The sequence below is a fragment of the Homo sapiens genome, chromosome 12, assembly GCF_000001405.40.
Source record: "Homo sapiens chromosome 12, GRCh38.p14 Primary Assembly".
NCBI lineage: Eukaryota > Metazoa > Chordata > Mammalia > Primates > Hominidae > Homo > Homo sapiens.
Window position 1 is genome coordinate 21,184,555 of NC_000012.12, and position 18,893 is coordinate 21,203,447.

At 34.5% G+C, this 18,893-nt stretch overlaps 1 protein-coding gene across 1 annotated transcript in view; it reads left to right on the top strand.

Annotated features, from left to right (window-relative positions):
- The window catches only part of SLCO1B1 (solute carrier organic anion transporter family member 1B1), a 108,603-nt gene that overhangs the window by 53,361 nt on the left and 36,349 nt on the right, over positions 1–18,893 (top strand). The window contains exons 8-10 of the mRNA NM_006446.5: positions 12,392–12,634; positions 15,954–16,118; positions 17,937–18,132. Of these exons, the coding sequence (NP_006437.3) occupies positions 12,392–12,634; positions 15,954–16,118; positions 17,937–18,132 (604 nt within the window). The remainder of the gene's footprint in view (positions 1–12,391; positions 12,635–15,953; positions 16,119–17,936; positions 18,133–18,893) is intronic.

Consider the following 18,893-nt stretch of genomic DNA (forward strand, 5'->3'; position numbering starts at 1 on the left):
AAGCAAACATTGAGGAAATTTCTTATCACTAAACCAGCCTTATAACAGGTCTCTAGAAGAGTGCTAAACATGGAAACAAAAGATTAATACTTGCCACAACAAATACTCACTTAAATAGGTAGCCCAGACACATAAAGCAACTATACAACCAAGTCTATGAAACAACCAGCTAACAACATGATGCCATGATCAAAATCTCACGTATCAATAATAACCCTGAATGTAAACAGGCTAAATGCCCCAAGTAAAAGACACTGAGTGACAAGCTTCATAAGTAGACAAAACTTAGCCTTCTGTTGTCTTTAAAAGACACATCTTACATGTACAATACCCACAGGATCAAAGTAAAGGAACGGAAAGAGATCTATCCATGCAAACAGAAAACAAAACAGGGCAGTAATCACTATTCTTATATCAGATAAAACAGACATTAAACCAAAAACCATCAAGAAGGACAAAGAAGGGTATTACATAAGGATAAAGTGTTCCATTAAACGAGAAGACTTAACTATTCTAAATATATATGCAGTCAAAAGTGGAGGACCCAGATTTACAAAAAAGATTCTTAGAGACCTAAGGAAACTAAAAACAGACAGCCACACCATGATAGTGGAAGACTTCAACAACTCACTGACAGTGTTAGATATCGAAGCAGAAAATTAAAATGTAAATTTTGGACTTAAACTCAACTCTCAACCAACTGGATCCAAAAACATCCTACAGAATACTCCACCCAGCACTATCAGAATATGCTTTCTTCTCATCTGCATATAGATTGTATTCTAAAATCAATCATATGCTCAGTCATAAAGTCTCAATACATTCAAAAAATTAAAAGATTTTGAGTACATTCTTGAACAAAAGTGCAATAAAAATAGAAATCAATACCAAAAAGATTTCTTAAAACCACCCAAAAGTATGGTAATTCAACAACTTTTCCTGAATAATTCTTGGTTTAAGAATGAAAGTAAAACCGTTTTTGACATTAAATAAAATAGAGACACACCTCACTAAAATCTTTGGGATCTATCTAAAGCAGTGTTAAGAGGAAGTTTACAATGCTAAAGGCCTTCATCAAGAAGGCAGAGAGATTTCAAATTAACAATTTAACATTGCACTTACACTAACTAGAAAAAAAAAGGACAACCCCAAAGCAAACTGAAAATAAATAACGAAAATCAGAATGAAATTGTGATGCAAAATGTATACAAAAGATAAATAAAACCAAGAGTTTGTTATTCAAAAGAATACAAAAAGATTAATAGACTGTTAACTAGATTAACAAGGAAAAAAAGGAGACCCAATTAAGCACAATCGGAAATGACAAAGATCACATTACAACTCCCATAGAAATGCATTACAAATGCCCCTCTGCACACAAATTAGAAAATCTAGAGGAAGTAGAGTCATTCTTGGAAACAACCTCCAAAGATTAAACCAGAAAAAAAGTGAAAACCTGAACAGACCGATAACAAGTTATCAAATTGAATTAGTAATAAAAAACCTACTGACCAAAAAAAAAGCCCTGGACCAGATGGATTCTCAGCCAAATTCTACTAATTCTAATTTTATTCTAACATAAAAGTTCGCTTTTTTAAAGTTAAACTTCAAATTTAAGCACAGAAACACATATGTACCTCATATTATCTCATCTACAGTCAAGAGAAGTGAAAACAAATGTGAAGATGTACTATTAAAGCATAACTTTATACAATTGACTGTAATATATACGTTACTGCTGTAATAATTTCATAGCACCTCCTGTAATTGTAGTAATAAGGTTGTGTTGAAAGCACCTGCTTAAAACACCATGTGACACTAATTATCTCCACATGAACAGTTCCTCTCTCCAATAAATTGCGGATTGCAGCAAAATCTGATTGTGATTCTTGTGCGTTTTTATACTGTTTAGTGCAATACTGTCAACTTTGAATAACACCGTTGGAGCCATATGAATTGCCACTAGTGATGCTGAAACTGCTCCTAAGAAACTGAGAAAAGTCACGACATTACAAGAAAAAGTTGTATTGCTTGATATATAATGCAGATTGAGGTCTTCAGCTGCCCATTGTTTCAATACAAATGAATCCAGCATAAAGATCATTGTAAAAAACAAAAAAAGGGAAAAAAAAAGGAAATTCATGATGGCATTGCTGAGTCTATGCCAGCAGGCACAAAATCTTGCACTTTTAGTAATATACCGTCTTATCTCATATTGAAAATGAAATTGTTATATGGCTGCAAACTTTTATAAGAAAGGCATAACCACAGACTTTAATGTGATTTGAGAAAAAGTGAAGTTATTATATGACCATTTAAAGCAAAGGAAGGTGAGGGATCTAAAACTGGAGAAACTAATGCAAGCAAAGGATGGTTTGATAATTTTAGAAAATGATTTGGGTTTAAAAATTTTCAAAATAACAGAAGCAGCAGCTTCTGCCAAATGAGAGAAAGTGAACAAGTTTTCAGATTCCACTAAGAAAATCATTGAGAAAGCATATCTGCATGAGCAGGTTTTTAATGCAGATGAAAGTGTCCTATCCTGGGGAAAAGAAAGCCACGAAGGACGTTTATTAATAAAGAAGAGAAGTGAGCACCAGGATTTAAGGCAGGAAGGGATGAGGTAAGTCTACTATTCTGTACAAATAAGGTCAGGCTTATTATCAAAACTGCTAGTATCTACAAAGTTGATAAGTCCCAAACCTTGAAGGCAAAAGATAAAAATCAACTGCTAGTCTTCCAGTCATACAAAAGGAAGGTCTGAACAATTAGTACTCTTTTTCAGAATTGTTTCCATCAATGCCTTGTTCCTGAAGACAGGAAGTAGCTTGACAGTAAGGGACTGCCTTTACAGTTCTTTTCATATCAGTCGATGCCCCTGGTCACCTAGAAAGCCCATAAGTTCAACATCAAAGGCATTGTAGTGATCTATTTCTTCCACCACAACATCTCTAATTCAGCCTCTAGATCATGGAGTCATAAGAAACTTTAAAGGATCATTACAGATGATACTCTAACGAAAGGATTATCAGTGCTATCAAAGAAAATCCTGATAGGCAGAACATCATAAAAGACTAGAAGAATTACACCATTTAAGATGCTATTGTTATAGGGAAAAAAAAAAGTGAAAGTCATTAAGTGCAAAACAATACATTTCTACCAGAGAAAATTTTGTTCAGATGTTGTGCATAAATTCATAGGATTAACAACATGGCCAATCAAGAAAATTATGAAAGAGATTATGGATATGGAAGAAAAAGTGAGGAGTAAAGAATTTCAAGATATCGGTATTGGAGAAATTCAAGAGCTAATTCATACCTCATCAGGGAAGTTAACAGAAGATGACCTGATGGAGATGAGTGCCTGCGAACTAGTGTCAGATGATGGGGAAGGAGACATAGAAGCAGCAGTGCCAGAAACAAATTGTTATTAGGCAATCTAGCAGAAGGATTCTGATAATTCAAGACTGTTTTTGGCTTCTTTTATAACAGGGACTCTTGTCTAATGTGGGCACTGAAACTAAAGCATGTGTTGGAAGAAGGATTAGTTCCATTTAGAAAAATTTTTAGAGAAATGACAAAACCACAAAGTCAAATAGAAATTATGGCGTATTTATGAAATAGTTACTGAATGTACTTGCCTCTTTTGCCTTCCCTCTACCTCCTCCACCTCTTCCACCTCTTCTACCCTAGTGAAAGCAAGACCAGTGCCTCCCATTCCTTCTCCTCCTCAGCCTACTCAATGTGAAGAGATGAGAAAGATCTTATGATGGTCCACTTCAACTTAATAGTAAATATGTTTTATCTTCCCTGTGATTTTCTTTATAACATTTTTTCTCTAGCTTACTTTATATTAAGAATACTATATATAATACATATAACATACAAAACATGTGTTAATCAACTGTTTATGTTATTGGTAAGGATTCTGATCAACAGTAGCTGGTATGATTTGGATCTGTGTTCCCGCCAAAGTCATGTAGAATTGTAATCCCCAATGACGGAGGTGGGGCCTGGTGGGAGGTGATTGGGTGATAAAGGTAGTTTCTCATGAATAGTTTAACACCATCCCCCTTGATGCTGATCTCATGATACTGAGTGAATTCTCATGAGATTTATTTGCTCAAAAGTGTGTAATACCTCCCCCCTCTCTTCTTCCTGTAGAGACTGCAGAACTGCATAACTGAAACTTTATACCCATTGACTAACAACTCCCTGCTTCCCCTTCCCCTTAATCACTGGCAATAACCATTCTACTCTTTGCTTCTGTGAGTGTTACTGTTTTATGTTCCTCACATGAATGTAATCATGTAGTATATGTCCTTCTGTAACTGGTTCATTTTGCCTAATGTCCTCAAAGTTCATCCAAGTTATCACATATTGCAGAATATCCTTCTTTTTAAAGACTGAATAATATTCCATTGTATGTCTATACAATATTTTCTTTATCCATTTATCCCTCAGCAGACATGAGGTTGTTTTTACAGCTAGCTATTATGAATAGTGCTGCAATGAACGTGCAAATGCAAATGGTCTCTTCAAGATAATGATTTCAATTCTTTTATATATGTACCCAGAAGTGGGATTGCTGGGTCATATGAGAGTTCTGTATTTAATTTTTGAGGAATCTTTATAATACCTTTTATACTGGCTGTACCTTTTTGTATTCTACCAGCAGTGTACCGTGTTCAAATATCTCCACATTCTTGCAAACACTTTCTTTCTTAAATGATAGCCATTCTACAGGTGTAAGGTGTAGGAAAAGAGTGGAGTTGTGCTTTTGATTTGCATTTCCCTGATATGCAATGTTGAAAATCTTTTTATTGACCTGTTGTTCATTTGTGTGTCTTCTTTGGAGAAATTTCTATTCAGGTATGTAGCCTAATTGTTTTTTCAAATTAATTTTTTTTTTTTGAGTCACTCTCACTCTGTCACCCAGGCTGGAGTGCAGTTGTGTGATCTCAGCTCACTGCAATCTCTGCCTGCCAGGTTCCAGTGATTATCCAGCCTCAGCCTCCAGAGTATCTGGGATTACAGGTGCCTCCACCACACCTGGCTAATTTTTGTATTTTTAGTAGAGATGGGATTTCACCATGTTGGCCTGGCTGGTCTCAAACTCCTGACCTCAGGTGATCCAATTTGTCTTGGCCTCCCAAAGTGCTGGGATTACAGGTTATCAGCCACTGACTGACATATATAAAATTGTATTTTTATCATGTACACTCTAATGTTTTGAAATACATATATAAGTGGAATAGTTAAATTTAGCTAATTAACAAATGCATTATCTTACATAGTTACTTTTGTAGTGGAAACACTTAACATCTACTCTCTCAGCATATTTCAAAAATACAACATATTGTGGTTAAGAATAGTCACCCTGCTGCATAATAAATCTCTGCAATTTTTTCCTCCTAATTGTAATTATGTATGCTTTGACCAGTATCTCCTCATGTGGGAGATCAGTCAGAGTGGTGGAAGAAGCTATAGGGAAGGAAGCAGGCCTTTAGAAAGGTCAGAAGGCTCTGCAAAACTTCAGGGGAGACTAAGCTGAAGATAGCTGTTCTCTTACCCTGAGGCAGAGCACAAGAAATAGGTATAAGGAAGTATAGGGGAATTTATCTAAATAGGCTTGTCTACCCATGTTGTCCAGAAACTGACCTTTGACCATCCGTACACGTGACTGTTCCCAGTAAGGGGGAACAATAATGTTAATTACACACAGATTGTGTTGGCTCCAGCCTTTCGGCATTATGTCTGTACTAAATAAAAGTGAGCAGCTCCAGCTTGTTGGGACTGCTACTCACTCTTTGGCAGTCCCCTAGCCACTCTTTCACCACATACCTGTGTCTGAGTACTCCTTTCATCTGTTGGTAGGCCAGGGTCTACCAGGATGGACCAGGCATCCTCAACTCCACTGTTCTCCCAACCACCTGGCTTCTGGTAGCCACCATTCTACTCACTAATAACTAATTAATTTTTATTTCAATAGCTTTTGGGGTAGATGTTGTTTTTCGTTACATGGGTGAATTCTATAATGATAAATTTTGATATTTTACATACCTGAGTAATGTACATTGTACCCAATATGTAGTTTTTTTATCCCTCAGTCCCCTTCCATCTTTCCCCTTCTGAGCCTCCTAAATCCACCACATCAATCTGTATGTCTTTGTATCTTCATGGCTTAGCTCCCAATGATAAGTGAGAACATACAGTATTTGGTTTTCCATTCCTGAGTTACTTCACTTAGAATAATGTCCTCCAGTTCCATCCAAGTTCCTGCAAAATTTTTCATCGTTATTATTTTTTTGCTATTGAGTTGTAGGATTTCCCCGTGTGCTTTAGAAATTAACCCCTTTTCATATATAAATGATTTATAATATTTTATTTTATTCTGCATATTTCTTTTTTACCCCATTTATTGTCTCTGTTCTGTTCCATTGGTCTATATTTCTGTCTTTATGCTGGTACCATATTATATTAATTACTATAGCTTTAAAATACATTTTGTAATTAGGAAATATGAGGCAGCTTTATTCTTTCTCAATGCTTTTTTGGCTATTTGATGTCCTTCTTGGTTCCATATGTATTTTAGAATTGTTTGTTATATTTTTGTAAAAATACTATTGGGCTTTTGATAGGTATTGTATTGAATCTTTACATATATTTGGGTAGTATGGACATTTACTATTAATAAGTCCTTCAATTATTAACACAGAATGTCTTTCTAATTATTTATGGCTTCTTTATTTCCTCAGTGTCTTGAAGTATTTCATGCACAAGTCTTTCACCTTCTTAAATTTATTTTTGTGTTTTATTCTTTATGATTTTAGTGTAAATGGAATTGCTTTCCTAATGTCTTTTCAAATAGTACTTGGTTAATTCATAGAAATATAAGTAATATCTTATAATTATTTTGTATCCTGCAACTTTACAGAATGTGTTTATTCAATTCTAACAGGTGTGTGTGTGTGTGCATGTGTCATCTTTAGGGTTTTCTATATACAAAATCATGCCATCTGCAAGTAGAGGCAATTTTACTTCTTTCTTTCAAGTTTGAATGTCTTTTATTTCTTTTTCTTGGTTAATTGCTCTGGCATAAAATGGCAGGACTGTGTTGAATAGAAGTGATGAGAATGGCCATTCTTCCTTTGTTCCTGAAAGCTTTCTGTTTTTCACTCTTGAATTTAATGCTAGCTGTGAGCTTTTTAAATATGCACTTCATTTTGTTGAGGCAATTTTTATCTATTCCTAGCTTGTTGAAAGTTTTTATCACAAAACATTGTTGGATTTTATCAAATGCTGTTTAACATCTGCATATTTGATCATGTAGATTTTGTCCTTTTTTTGTTAATGTGTTACATTACGCTTGGTGATATTTGTTAAACTTAGCATTTCAGGTATAAATCCCCCTTGAATATAGTGTAGTATCCTTTTTATATGCTATTAAATTTGGTTTACTAGTATTGTTTGAGGATTTTCTCCTCTGTCTTCATCAGATATATTGGTTTGTAGTTTTCTTCCTTTTGGTGTCTTTGTCTGGCTTTGGTATCAGAATAATGCTGGCCTTATAAAATTAGTTTGAAGATGTTCTCTTCTCTTCAATTTTTGGCAAGAGATTGGAATGGATTGCCATTAATATTTTCTTTAGCTATTTAGTAACACGCACCAGTAAAGCCATCTGGTCCTAAGTTTTTTGTTGAGAAGTATTTGATTATTAATTCAATATTTTTACTGGTTGTAAATCTCTTTATATTTTCTATATTTTCTGTGTTTTATGTCTCCAGGAATTTATTTTTTCTTTCTTATCTAATTTTTGATGTATAATTTCTCATAGTAATCTCTTATGATTGTTTTATTTTTCTAGCATCAATTAAATGTCTCTACTTTCAGCTCTTATTTTGTTTGTTTGAGTCTTTTCTCTTTTGCTTAGTCTAGTTTAAAGTTTGTCAATTTTGCCTCTCTTTCAAAAAGATCAACACTTAGTTGTGTTGATATTTTTTCTAATGTTTTTTTTTCCATATTCTTTATTGTATTTATTTCTTCTCTAATCTTTTTTTCTCCTGCTAACTTTGGCCTTAGTTTGTTTTTCTTTTTATAATTTTGTGAGGTGTAAAATAGGTTGTTAGTTTAAGATAATTCTTTACTTTTTACTAGCATAATTATGTGATATTTATCAGTGTGTACTGAGAGCAAACAATGCCAGATGCTACTAGTGACCATAAATTAGAGAAATAACCTATGTTTTTTGGATATGGAAATGAAATTTACCCTACAAATGTAGATATTTTTTACTGAACACTTCCTCTTACTACTGTTCTTGCTGCATCTCACATTTTAGAATGTTTTGTTTTTGATTCTCTTCGTATCTAAATATTTTCTAATTTCCCTTTTGATTTCTTTGACAATTTAATTATTGAAAAGTTTGTTAGTATCCATATTTTTAAAATTTTCTACTTTTCTTTTTGATACTAATTTCCAGTTTTATTCCATTGTAGTTAGAAAAGATAATTGGTATGATTTTAATTTTAAATTTATCAAGACCTGTTGCATGATGTAACATGTGGTCTATCTTAGAAAATATTCCATTTCTATTTGAAAAGAATATACATTCTGTTTTTATTGAGTGAAGTATTCTCTATGTGTCTGTTACGTTCAATTGGTCTATAATGTTGTTGAAGTCCTCTGTTTCCTCATTGATTTTCTCTCTAGTCATTCTATTTATAATTGAAAGTGAGATATTATGAAGTCAGCCTACTATGGAGGGCTAACTGTAATACACTATTTTATATAAGAGACTGGAGCATCCTTGGATTTTGGTATCCATAGGGAGTCCTAGAACCATTGTTCACAGATACCAAGAGATGATTTTATTGTATTTCTCTATATTTCTCTTTTCAGTTCTGTCCATGTTTGCTTTATAGCTTTTGGGTCTTTGAGATTGGGTGAATATATTGGGTTGTATATTCTTGGTGAATTAACTTAAAAAATCATTTTATAATGTCCTTTTTGCAACTTGAGACAGTTTTTTACTTAAACTCTTTTTCTTTCTTTGACAAATAGTTAGGTTGCAAATTTTCCAAACTTGTATGCTCTGCTTCCCCTTTAAATATAACTTTCAACTTTAGGTCATTTCTTTGCTCTCATATCTGAGCATTGCATGTTAGAAGCAGCCAACCTATATCCTTAATGCTTTACTGCTTAGAAATTTCTTCCATCAGATGTTCTAAGTCATTGCTCTTTTTTTTTATTTTGGAGACAGAGTCTCACTCTGTGGCCCAGGCTGGAGTGCAGTGGTGCGATCTCGGCTCACTACAAGCTCCACCTCCCAGGTTCACACTATTCTCCTGTTTCTGCCTCCCAAGTAGCTGGGACTACAGGTGCCCACCACGATGCCTGGCTAATTTTTTTGTATTTTTAGTAGAGATGGGGTTTCACCGTGTTAGCCAGGTTGGTCTCGATCTCCTGACCTTGTGATCCACCCACCTTGGCCTCCCAAAGTGCTGGGATTACAGGCGTGAGCCACCGTGCCCGGCCAAGTCATCACCCTTTATTTCAGACTTCCACAGATCCCCTAGGGTATGAACAAAATGCAGCCAAGTACTTTGCCCGACACCATGCCCGGCTTATTTTGTACTTTATTAGTGGAGACGGGGTTTCTCCATGTTGGTCAGGCTGGTCTCAAACTCCCGACCTCAGATGATCCACCCGTCTCAGCCTCCCAAAGTGCTGGGATGACAGGCGTGAGCCACCGCGCCTGGCCTATTTTATTTTCTATAGCCTCATAACAGAGGTGAGACTAGTGATTTTAGAGCCACACTTCCTGGCTTCTGTTTTTATTATTTTAATTATTTATTATTATTATTATTAATTTTGTTTTTTTGGGGGGGTTGTTTTGTTTTGCTAAGGCATAACAAGAGTGACTTTTGCTCTAGCTCCCAATAACTGTCATTTCTATTTGAGACCTTTTCAGCATGAACTTCATTGTCCATGTCACGATCTGCATTTTGGTCATAATCATTTATCAGTTTCCAAGAAGTTTCAAACTTTCCTTCATTTTCTTATCTTCTTCTGAGTCCTCCAAGCTCTTGTAAGCTCTGCTCATTACCTAGTTCCAAAGTCAAGTCCACATTTTCAGGTATCCTTATAGCAATGTCCCACTTCTTGGTAACAATTTTCTGTGTTAGGCCATTCTGGCATTCTTACACAAGAATGCATGAGACTGGCTAATTTATCAAGTAAAGAGGTTTAATTGGCTTATGATTCTGCAAGCTGTACAGGCATGGCACTGGCATTATCTCAGATTCTGAGGAGACCCCAAGGAGCTTTTACTCCTGGCAGAAGTTAAAGCAGGAGCAGGCACATCACATGTTGAGAGAAAGAGCAAGGGGGAGGCAAGGTGCCACACACTTTTTAAGCAATCAGATCTTCTCCTGAGAACTCATACACTATTGCAAGGACAGCACCAAGCAATGAAGGATCAACCCCCATGACCCAAACACCTCCCACCAGGCCCTACCTCCAACATTGGATATTACATTTCAGCAGGAGATTTGAACAAGACAAATACCCAAACCATATCAGCCTCCAAGTCTTCATGGACTGGTATTGTATAGGAGAAAACTTTCTTCATTCAACCCCAGCAGAGCGTCTGTGGGCCTCTCAAATTTTGATTCTTTTTTAAACTGCTATCTTTTTGTTAGGAACTTTCAGAATCTAGAGTATGTAGGGTCTCATGAGCACTTTTAGACAGTGGACAGAGAAGCCCGTCACTTGGTCAACTCCCAGAAAATTTTGAATATTTCACATGCTATCCAATTTTTTCCTTCCCAAGGAGAATTTGAAAACTGAGGTGTTTTCTTTGTTTTTTGTTTGTTTGTTTGTTTTTCTTTTCTTTTTTACCTCCTCACTCTGCATAGATCTGGGAGCAGGGAGGAGCTGTAGCAAGTGCTCATGTGCTAATTTAAGCCACCATTTTTGTGCTCTTTGTAGCCCATTGGAAGCAAGCATATGCCTAGCCCCAAGATAGGCAAGACAATGACCAGCTGCTGGAGTTGGACACAGAAAAGATGAAATGTTAGGTTTGTGGTCGAAATATTTCCCTCCCCATAGAGAAGCTGGAGTTAAGTTTTTGTTTCTAATTTTTTTTAACTTGGTCATTCTGCCCTAAGCTATGGGCCAGGAGCTATGGGAATGCTTACATACTAGTTCAAGCTGCCTTCTTTATTTTCCGTAGCCTCCAAAGGTCTGGTATATGCTGAGTCCTGTCAACACTTCAAGATAGGTGATATAGAAGACAGTCGCAAGGGTAGTACCTGAAAAGTTACAGTTTTGGATGTGCAGTCTCACTCTGTCTCTCCACAGGGATAAGCTGGAGATGCAGTTTTCTTACATTCAGTCTATGTTGAGCCAGGGAATAGAGCTATTGCAAGTGTTCATAGGCACTTGCAAATTTCTAGTTCCTCTTGAATGCATGGTATTATAATGAGGAGAGGAACAGCAAAGAGGTGTCTCCAATTTTCTTAAAAGTGTCAATGTAGCTAATATTGCACTTCCCTGGGGTACAATGGCCTGTCAACTAGCTTCTGGATTTTCCACTAATGGAATTGATCGCTGTATAATTGTTGAATAAAATATTGTTGAAAGAAAAAAGGGTCCAGTCCTTCCTATTAGGCTATCTTGCTGATAACTCATATTGGCTTTTTTTATTACTTAGATTGTTTATTTTATACCTGTTAAAAGAGTGCATTTACACTTGAGATATAGCATTTACATAATACTCTTATTCATGATTTAAAGAAAAATATGACTGAAATAAAATGGTTAAATTATCCTTAACTTTTAGAGTCTAACTCTTCAGGGTTACTTTTAAACTCATATTTTCACTGTATTTTCTTATCCTCTGTGCTGTCAGGAGAGTTGGAAATGCTTATTTCAGGCATGGTGGGAAGCCCCTTTATTGACTCAGTAGATTTCTTGCAAACTGCTAAAATTTCATTGCTGACCCTTTCTTGATTTTATTAGCTTGTGCCAATAGACATTTTCAGACAACAATGAGACGTCATAGTTCTTCCACAGGTAGTAATTAAACAGTCTGCAAGCTTAAATGTCCAGTGATAGAAACTGTCCAGTCATGTAATCAGAAAAGCCATCAAGTGCACACAAGCTCAGGCAATGACAACAATATCATGACTGATTCCTAGACAGTATCTGTTGCATTATGTCATCAAATGTTAGACTGATCCTAGTCTCAGAGATGACAAAAAATTAAAAGAAAAAAATCGTGTCTTGGAATTGAGGAAATGTAGTTTACTTTCTTCATACCATTATTTCCCTGAACCTATTGTATTTCAAAATGATTTTTGACTGGCTTCTATAATTATTTATTCTAGGCACTATCAGGATAACTCCTACTGATTCTCGATGGGTTGGAGCTTGGTGGCTTAATTTCCTTGTGTCTGGACTATTCTCCATTATTTCTTCCATACCATTCTTTTTCTTGCCCCAAACTCCAAATAAACCACAAAAAGAAAGAAAAGCTTCACTGTCTTTGCATGTGCTGGAAACAAATGATGAAAAGGATCAAACAGCTAATTTGACCAATCAAGGAAAAAATATTACCAAAAATGTGACTGGTAAGTATTTAACATTCATTGTCAATTTGGAGTTGTTAATCTCAATGAAAAGGAAGAATGAGTATTCCAAAATAATAAAGCATACCCAACTCATCTGGAGTTGGCTTTCTTTTGCACTAAATTTAGATAAATTATTTTTCTAAAACTCCTATTAAAGTTAACATATATGTCTTGAGCACATAACAAGTGGAAGAGAATTAGGTTTGTACTTTTTAGCAGGGAGAAACCAACAAAAGTTTACAAACATCCATTTTTTATGAGCCAAATAGTAAATATTAATTTTAGTATTATATGGTCTAAACTGGGAGAGTTCAAAGAATTATAATATTTCATTCCTTCATTTATTCAACAAGTAGTACCAGGAACTGTACTATGCCCTGGTAATAAAACATTACCTCTATTTTTCAAGAACCTAGTGGGTGATGCTGAGAAATATATAGACAATAGCAATATAGTGCCTTAAGTATTATGGTGAAATTAAACTTAACTATTATCAGGTGTAGAGATGGATTAAGGAGAAGGAAGTCGGGAGAAGTTTCTCCCTATGTAATTAGAGTAATATTTATTTTGGTAATTATCTATCTATCTATCTTATCTAAATATTCAAAATAAAGTGGAAGCAAAGGTGGTAGTTAAGATAATTAGACTAAGTAATGTAAATTAGGATGCATCAGCATTTGACAGTGCCTCCTCTTTTGAATATAAACCCTGGGACTAATGGAGAACCATTGAGAGTCAATAAACAAAGAGAATGACTTGGCAGTAGCCAGAGCAAGATATGTGAATCAGTGAGGTGTTGACAGCAGTTTTCAGATTTGGGAGAAATGGTGAAATAGCCAAAGCAATGCAACACTTAAACCCTCAGCATCTTTTTCAAGTTTTCTTTAAAGTAAGATGACAAATTCTCCAGTGTAGCCTAGGTTCTTCCTTTCATCAGGTCTTTTACTTATTACTTTATTGCTATTTTCTCCTTTCTATCACACTAACCCAAGAGCAGTGGTGTTCTGGTACTCTTTATATTGGCTCATAGCAGAGGACTGTTAAGTTTCAGCTACATTGGTAGGTTGAAATTGTTCATGGCAAGAGAATTACCATGATTTATTACCATGGAAATTGGGATATACTACAAGTAGAAGTTTGTTTTCCTAAGAATCAGATGTTAAACATTTATGTTTTTAAAATTTAACATTCACACTAAAAGTACTATACCAATAATTTTCATTTTGTATATGATGTTTCTACTGTACCAAATCAAATCTTTAAAAAATAGTAGATTGTCTAAACCTATAAGGAGCGGGGTTGACTGTGATCCAAACAGAACAGAGAGGATAATGAAGTTGTAAAAATAGGACAATTGTAGACATAATCTCTATTATGAACAGTTTTTGTAGGTGTGACCCTAAGAAAGAGGATCTTAAGTATGTATCTATTAGGAATGGATAAAATAAGAATATATAGTCAGAAAAAATATTGAATTTATTCCATATGCTCTTGAATAGAACTAAAACTGATTAGAATGAAAAGATGATTTCAGTTCATTACAAAAACAGTGTGTAAACAATGAGAACTTTTCAAAAGTGGAGGAAATTGCTTCCTAAGGTACTTAGTTTAATGCCACTTAAGTTGTTTATTGATCCACTTATTAATGATATATAGTAGATCATGACTATACAGAAGTTTACACTGGATGACATTGAATTTCTCATCCTCAAAAATGCAACGCTTGTGTGAATGTATATACTCCATTTCTGTTGAAGAAAGGCCACAACTCACTTATAATACTTACAAATCAGGGATGGTTTTTCATGACTGGGGAGACCTGTGGAGAGAAATGTGGCACTTTTGCCCAAGAATTTTAAATGTTGTTTATTCCCACTATACATTTTCTTATCTCTTCTTTTTTTCTTTTCTGTTTCTTTTCTCTAACTCCTTCTACTCCTTATTTCAAGCAGATGCAACTGTTTCGTAGCTGACATTAAATGGATGTCTTAGTTCTGACCATATCTAATGAAAATCTTTAGAGATTTAAATAGAGAAAAATATTTCAAAGTCCGTATCATCCAACTCTCAGTAACCATATCTTGGCTCTGTCTTGATGAACTCTGATACTTCCTACTGTTTTTCTAAGTAGTTCCTTCTACTTTTAAGTCCTATTACAGCTAGTTGACCTGGTGATCACAGATCCAAATGACATAATTTCTACCATGAACAGAAGTTAGAAGTTTGTTACCACAGCTGTTTGTAGGGATAGGTGGTTGTATTATTACTATTATAATACTACTTGGGACACAATATTATCCCCTGGCTGCTTTCCTTGTATCTTAAGACAGAGGGTTAATAATATTGCCAAATTTACTGAGAAAGTATGTTATGGTAGAAGAGCTGTATACTAGAGAAACAGGAGGTCTGAGTCCTCATACTAAATTAATCTTTAAGAATTTTGAACCTCAATGGTCTTATTTCTGTGAGTTTTGAATTATGCTGTCTTTACATTTCCATTTAATAGTTATATTTTTAATATAATACTTATATCATTAAGTACTAATAAATAAGAAACATCATATGTCTTATTCACTTTTTGTTTGTTTGTTTTTGGGTTTTTTTGTTTGTTTGTTTGTTTGTTTGTTTGAGATGGAGTCTTGTTGCTCTATTGCCTAGGCTGGAGTGCAGTGTCACCATCTCAGCTCACTGCAACCTTCGCCTCCCTAATTCAAGCAATTCTCCTGCCTCAGCCTCCCAAGTAGCTAAGATTACAGGTGTGTGCCATCGTGCTGGCCAATGTTTGTATTTTTAGTAGAGTTGGGGTTTCACCATGTTGGCCAGGCTGGTCTCGAATTCCTGACCCCAGGTGATCCATCTGCCTCGGCCTCCCAAAGTGCTAGGATTACAGGAGTGAGCCACTGTGCCCGGCCTTCACTTTTGTTTTTTGAACAATTAGCATATTGTCTGGTACCCAGTTGAAAACCTAACATTTGCTGAATGAATGAATAAGTGAATTAATATGTTTGCAATAGTATTGTAAAGTACCCAGGATAACCAAATATTAAGTGAAGAAAGCAAGTTACAAAACAGCACTTACGTATGACCCTATTTGAGGGTAAAATAAACTAAACTAATAAATATTAATATTCGTATGGAAAATATTGAAAGAATATATTTAAAAGCTGTGAACAGCCTGTGGTATTGCAGGCTATTCTCACTCTTTGTGTTATGTGTTTATAGAATTTTAAATCTTACATGACTTACGTTCACAAATTTTAGATATAAATGTATATTTAAGTTGCATTCAAATATTTTCTTTATTTTTACAATTTTACAGGTTTTTTCCAGTCTTTTAAAAGCATCCTTACTAATCCCCTGTATGTTATGTTTGTGCTTTTGACGTTGTTACAAGTAAGCAGCTATATTGGTGCTTTTACTTATGTCTTCAAATACGTAGAGCAACAGTATGGTCAGCCTTCATCTAAGGCTAACATCTTATTGGGTAAGACATATTTTTTACTTGTGTGCTTAATAAGTGAAATAATACTAAATACTGTATTCCAAGTGGTATTTTATTGTGAAAGTGATTTTGTATTTTAGTAATACAGGATAAGTATAATTTTCTTGTATTCTTTCTCAAATGTTATTAAACATATAAAACTTGTGATGTCACTATTGCTCTGCATTTGAAGTTGCATCTTATTTTAGATGAGTTCCTGAAAAAAATGTTGCAAATAAATGGACAATTTAGAGGTAGTATCTGTATAATTGGATCTTATAATTTAGTGCTAAGATCTGAGACAAACCCTTTTGTAATTATAATCATTATAATTCTATAATTTATGGACTTTGAAATCAAGACTCAGTTACTTACAAAAATATGACACTAATAGTTCCAAAAAGAGTATCGATTTAAATACATCAAAATATGCATAATTCAAAACAAATATATTTTACAGAGTATTTTTTGCTACAATATCTATTTTCAATGGCACATTTAGATGTGCTTATTAAGGAAAGTTTCCTTGTATTATTCTTCCCACAACTCTAGTATTGTAGACACATTATAGAAATTCAATATAAATATATGATGAATTAAACAACTTATCATGTGGTATGTAACTAGGTCATAAGTAAACAAGAAAATGAATGTACTGAAGCAGGAGACCAAGCTTCCAGATAATCTCTTTGTTGATCTTAAGATAAAAGTTTAAAATCGAAAAATAATGTTTTGACTCCCAGTAACCTAGCCTGAGCTTTTTCCTAGAGAAGACTTCATCTTTGTTAACTCTTATTAGACAAAGATATGGAAAAGTTATAGGAGGGATTAAACATTATTAATCCTGTATGTAGAGCGATTTGTCAGTTCAGGTTCTGTATGTTTTTTAATAAATGACAAAGATATATTAATTTTTATGTTGTTAAGCTCTGGGCAGATTTAGTGTGAGTTACTGAGGGTTAGAACTCTATCTGAGAGAGGCAAAAGGCTTTAGATGAAGTTCCATAGGCAGAAAGATGGTGTTTTGTTGTTGTTTATTTCCAGAAAAACAAAATTGCCTCATAGAAATTATCTGCTCCAACAAATATCCTCAGCCACACTGCCTTTTGCTATTGAGGAAACCAAACTGTCATCATTGGCAGGAACAAATTACACAGATCCCCTACCACCATACTGCTATATCATTCTTCTTTTTAAAAAGTAATAAGATTGGCATTCTACTATAAAGATACATGCACACATATGTTTATTGCAGCACTATTTGCAATAGCAAAGACTTGGAACCAACCCAAATGACCACCAATCATAGACTGGATAAAGAAAATGTGGCACATGTGTACCATGGAATACTATGCAGCCATAAAAAAGAATGAGTTTATGTCCTTTGCAGGGACATGGATGAAGCTGGAAACCATCATTCTCAGCAAACTAACACAGGAACAGAAAACCAAACACTGCATGTTCCCACTCATAAGTGGGAGTTGAACAATGAGAACACATGGACACAGGGAGGGGAACATCACACACCGGGGACTGTTGAGGGGTGGGAAGCAAGGGGAGGAAGAACATTAGGACAAATACCTAATGCATTCAGGGGTTAAAACCTAGATGACAGTTTGATAGGTGCAGCAAACCACCATGGCACATGTATATGTATGTAACAAACATGCACATTCTGCACATGTATCCCAGAACTTAAAGTAAAATTTTAAAAAGAAGCAATAATATTGAATAAATTTGATTGACATACATTGTGTTTCATCTATAAAGACATATCAGAAAACTCATATATGATTACAACTTTTTTTCTTTTTTTTCTAGGAGTCATAACCATACCTATTTTTGCAAGTGGAATGTTTTTAGGAGGATATATCATTAAAAAATTCAAACTGAACACCGTTGGAATTGCCAAATTCTCATGTTTTACTGCTGTGATGTCATTGTCCTTTTACCTATTATATTTTTTCATACTCTGTGAAAACAAATCAGTTGCCGGACTAACCATGACCTATGATGGGTTTGTATATATCACTATATCAATTGCATAATATGTTAACCATCAAATTAAGAGTCTCTGTATAAGTAATATAAGGCAGAAAACAATTTTAACTAAACTTTCTTTAAGTTAAGAGAAATTTCAATTTTAAAATTTTTAAAATATCTGTTTCTTAAGACCTCAAACACATTCTTTTATTCCTCCACTAAAGAGAAGCAACATAGGTTGTAATAATAATAACTATTATTTATGTGGTACTTACAATTAGTAGTGGGTACTTTTATCATTATTTTATGAATGGGAAAAGTAAGGCTTAGAGAAATACATGGATTACACAGCTAGCATTATTAAGATTCTAACTCAAATTTGAGTTTTTTAAGTCCAAAACTCTTAGTCTTAACCACCACTGTAATCTTGGATGGATCATAAGAGTTACATAAATGGCATTAGCCAAAAGTGACTAAACAACTTTTATCTACAGTTCATATCGATGTTCAACAACTATCTTAACAAAAGAACACTTTTAATGTTGTACTGAATTTTCTTTTTTGCAAGCTAATATTGTTTTTTTCTGATATTATCTACATTGGAAGTAGCATTAAGAAATATTCTATATATAATTGCATATTAGACATTGAAGAATCTTTACTTTTCCATGATTACCATGTATAGCAAAGTATTTTTAGTGCAACAGTCTCCACCTCAAATCAAGGGCAAGAATCCTATGCAGTTTTCTGATAATTTCCTGAATATAGCCAACAATTTAAGCTTAGGAAGGTTCA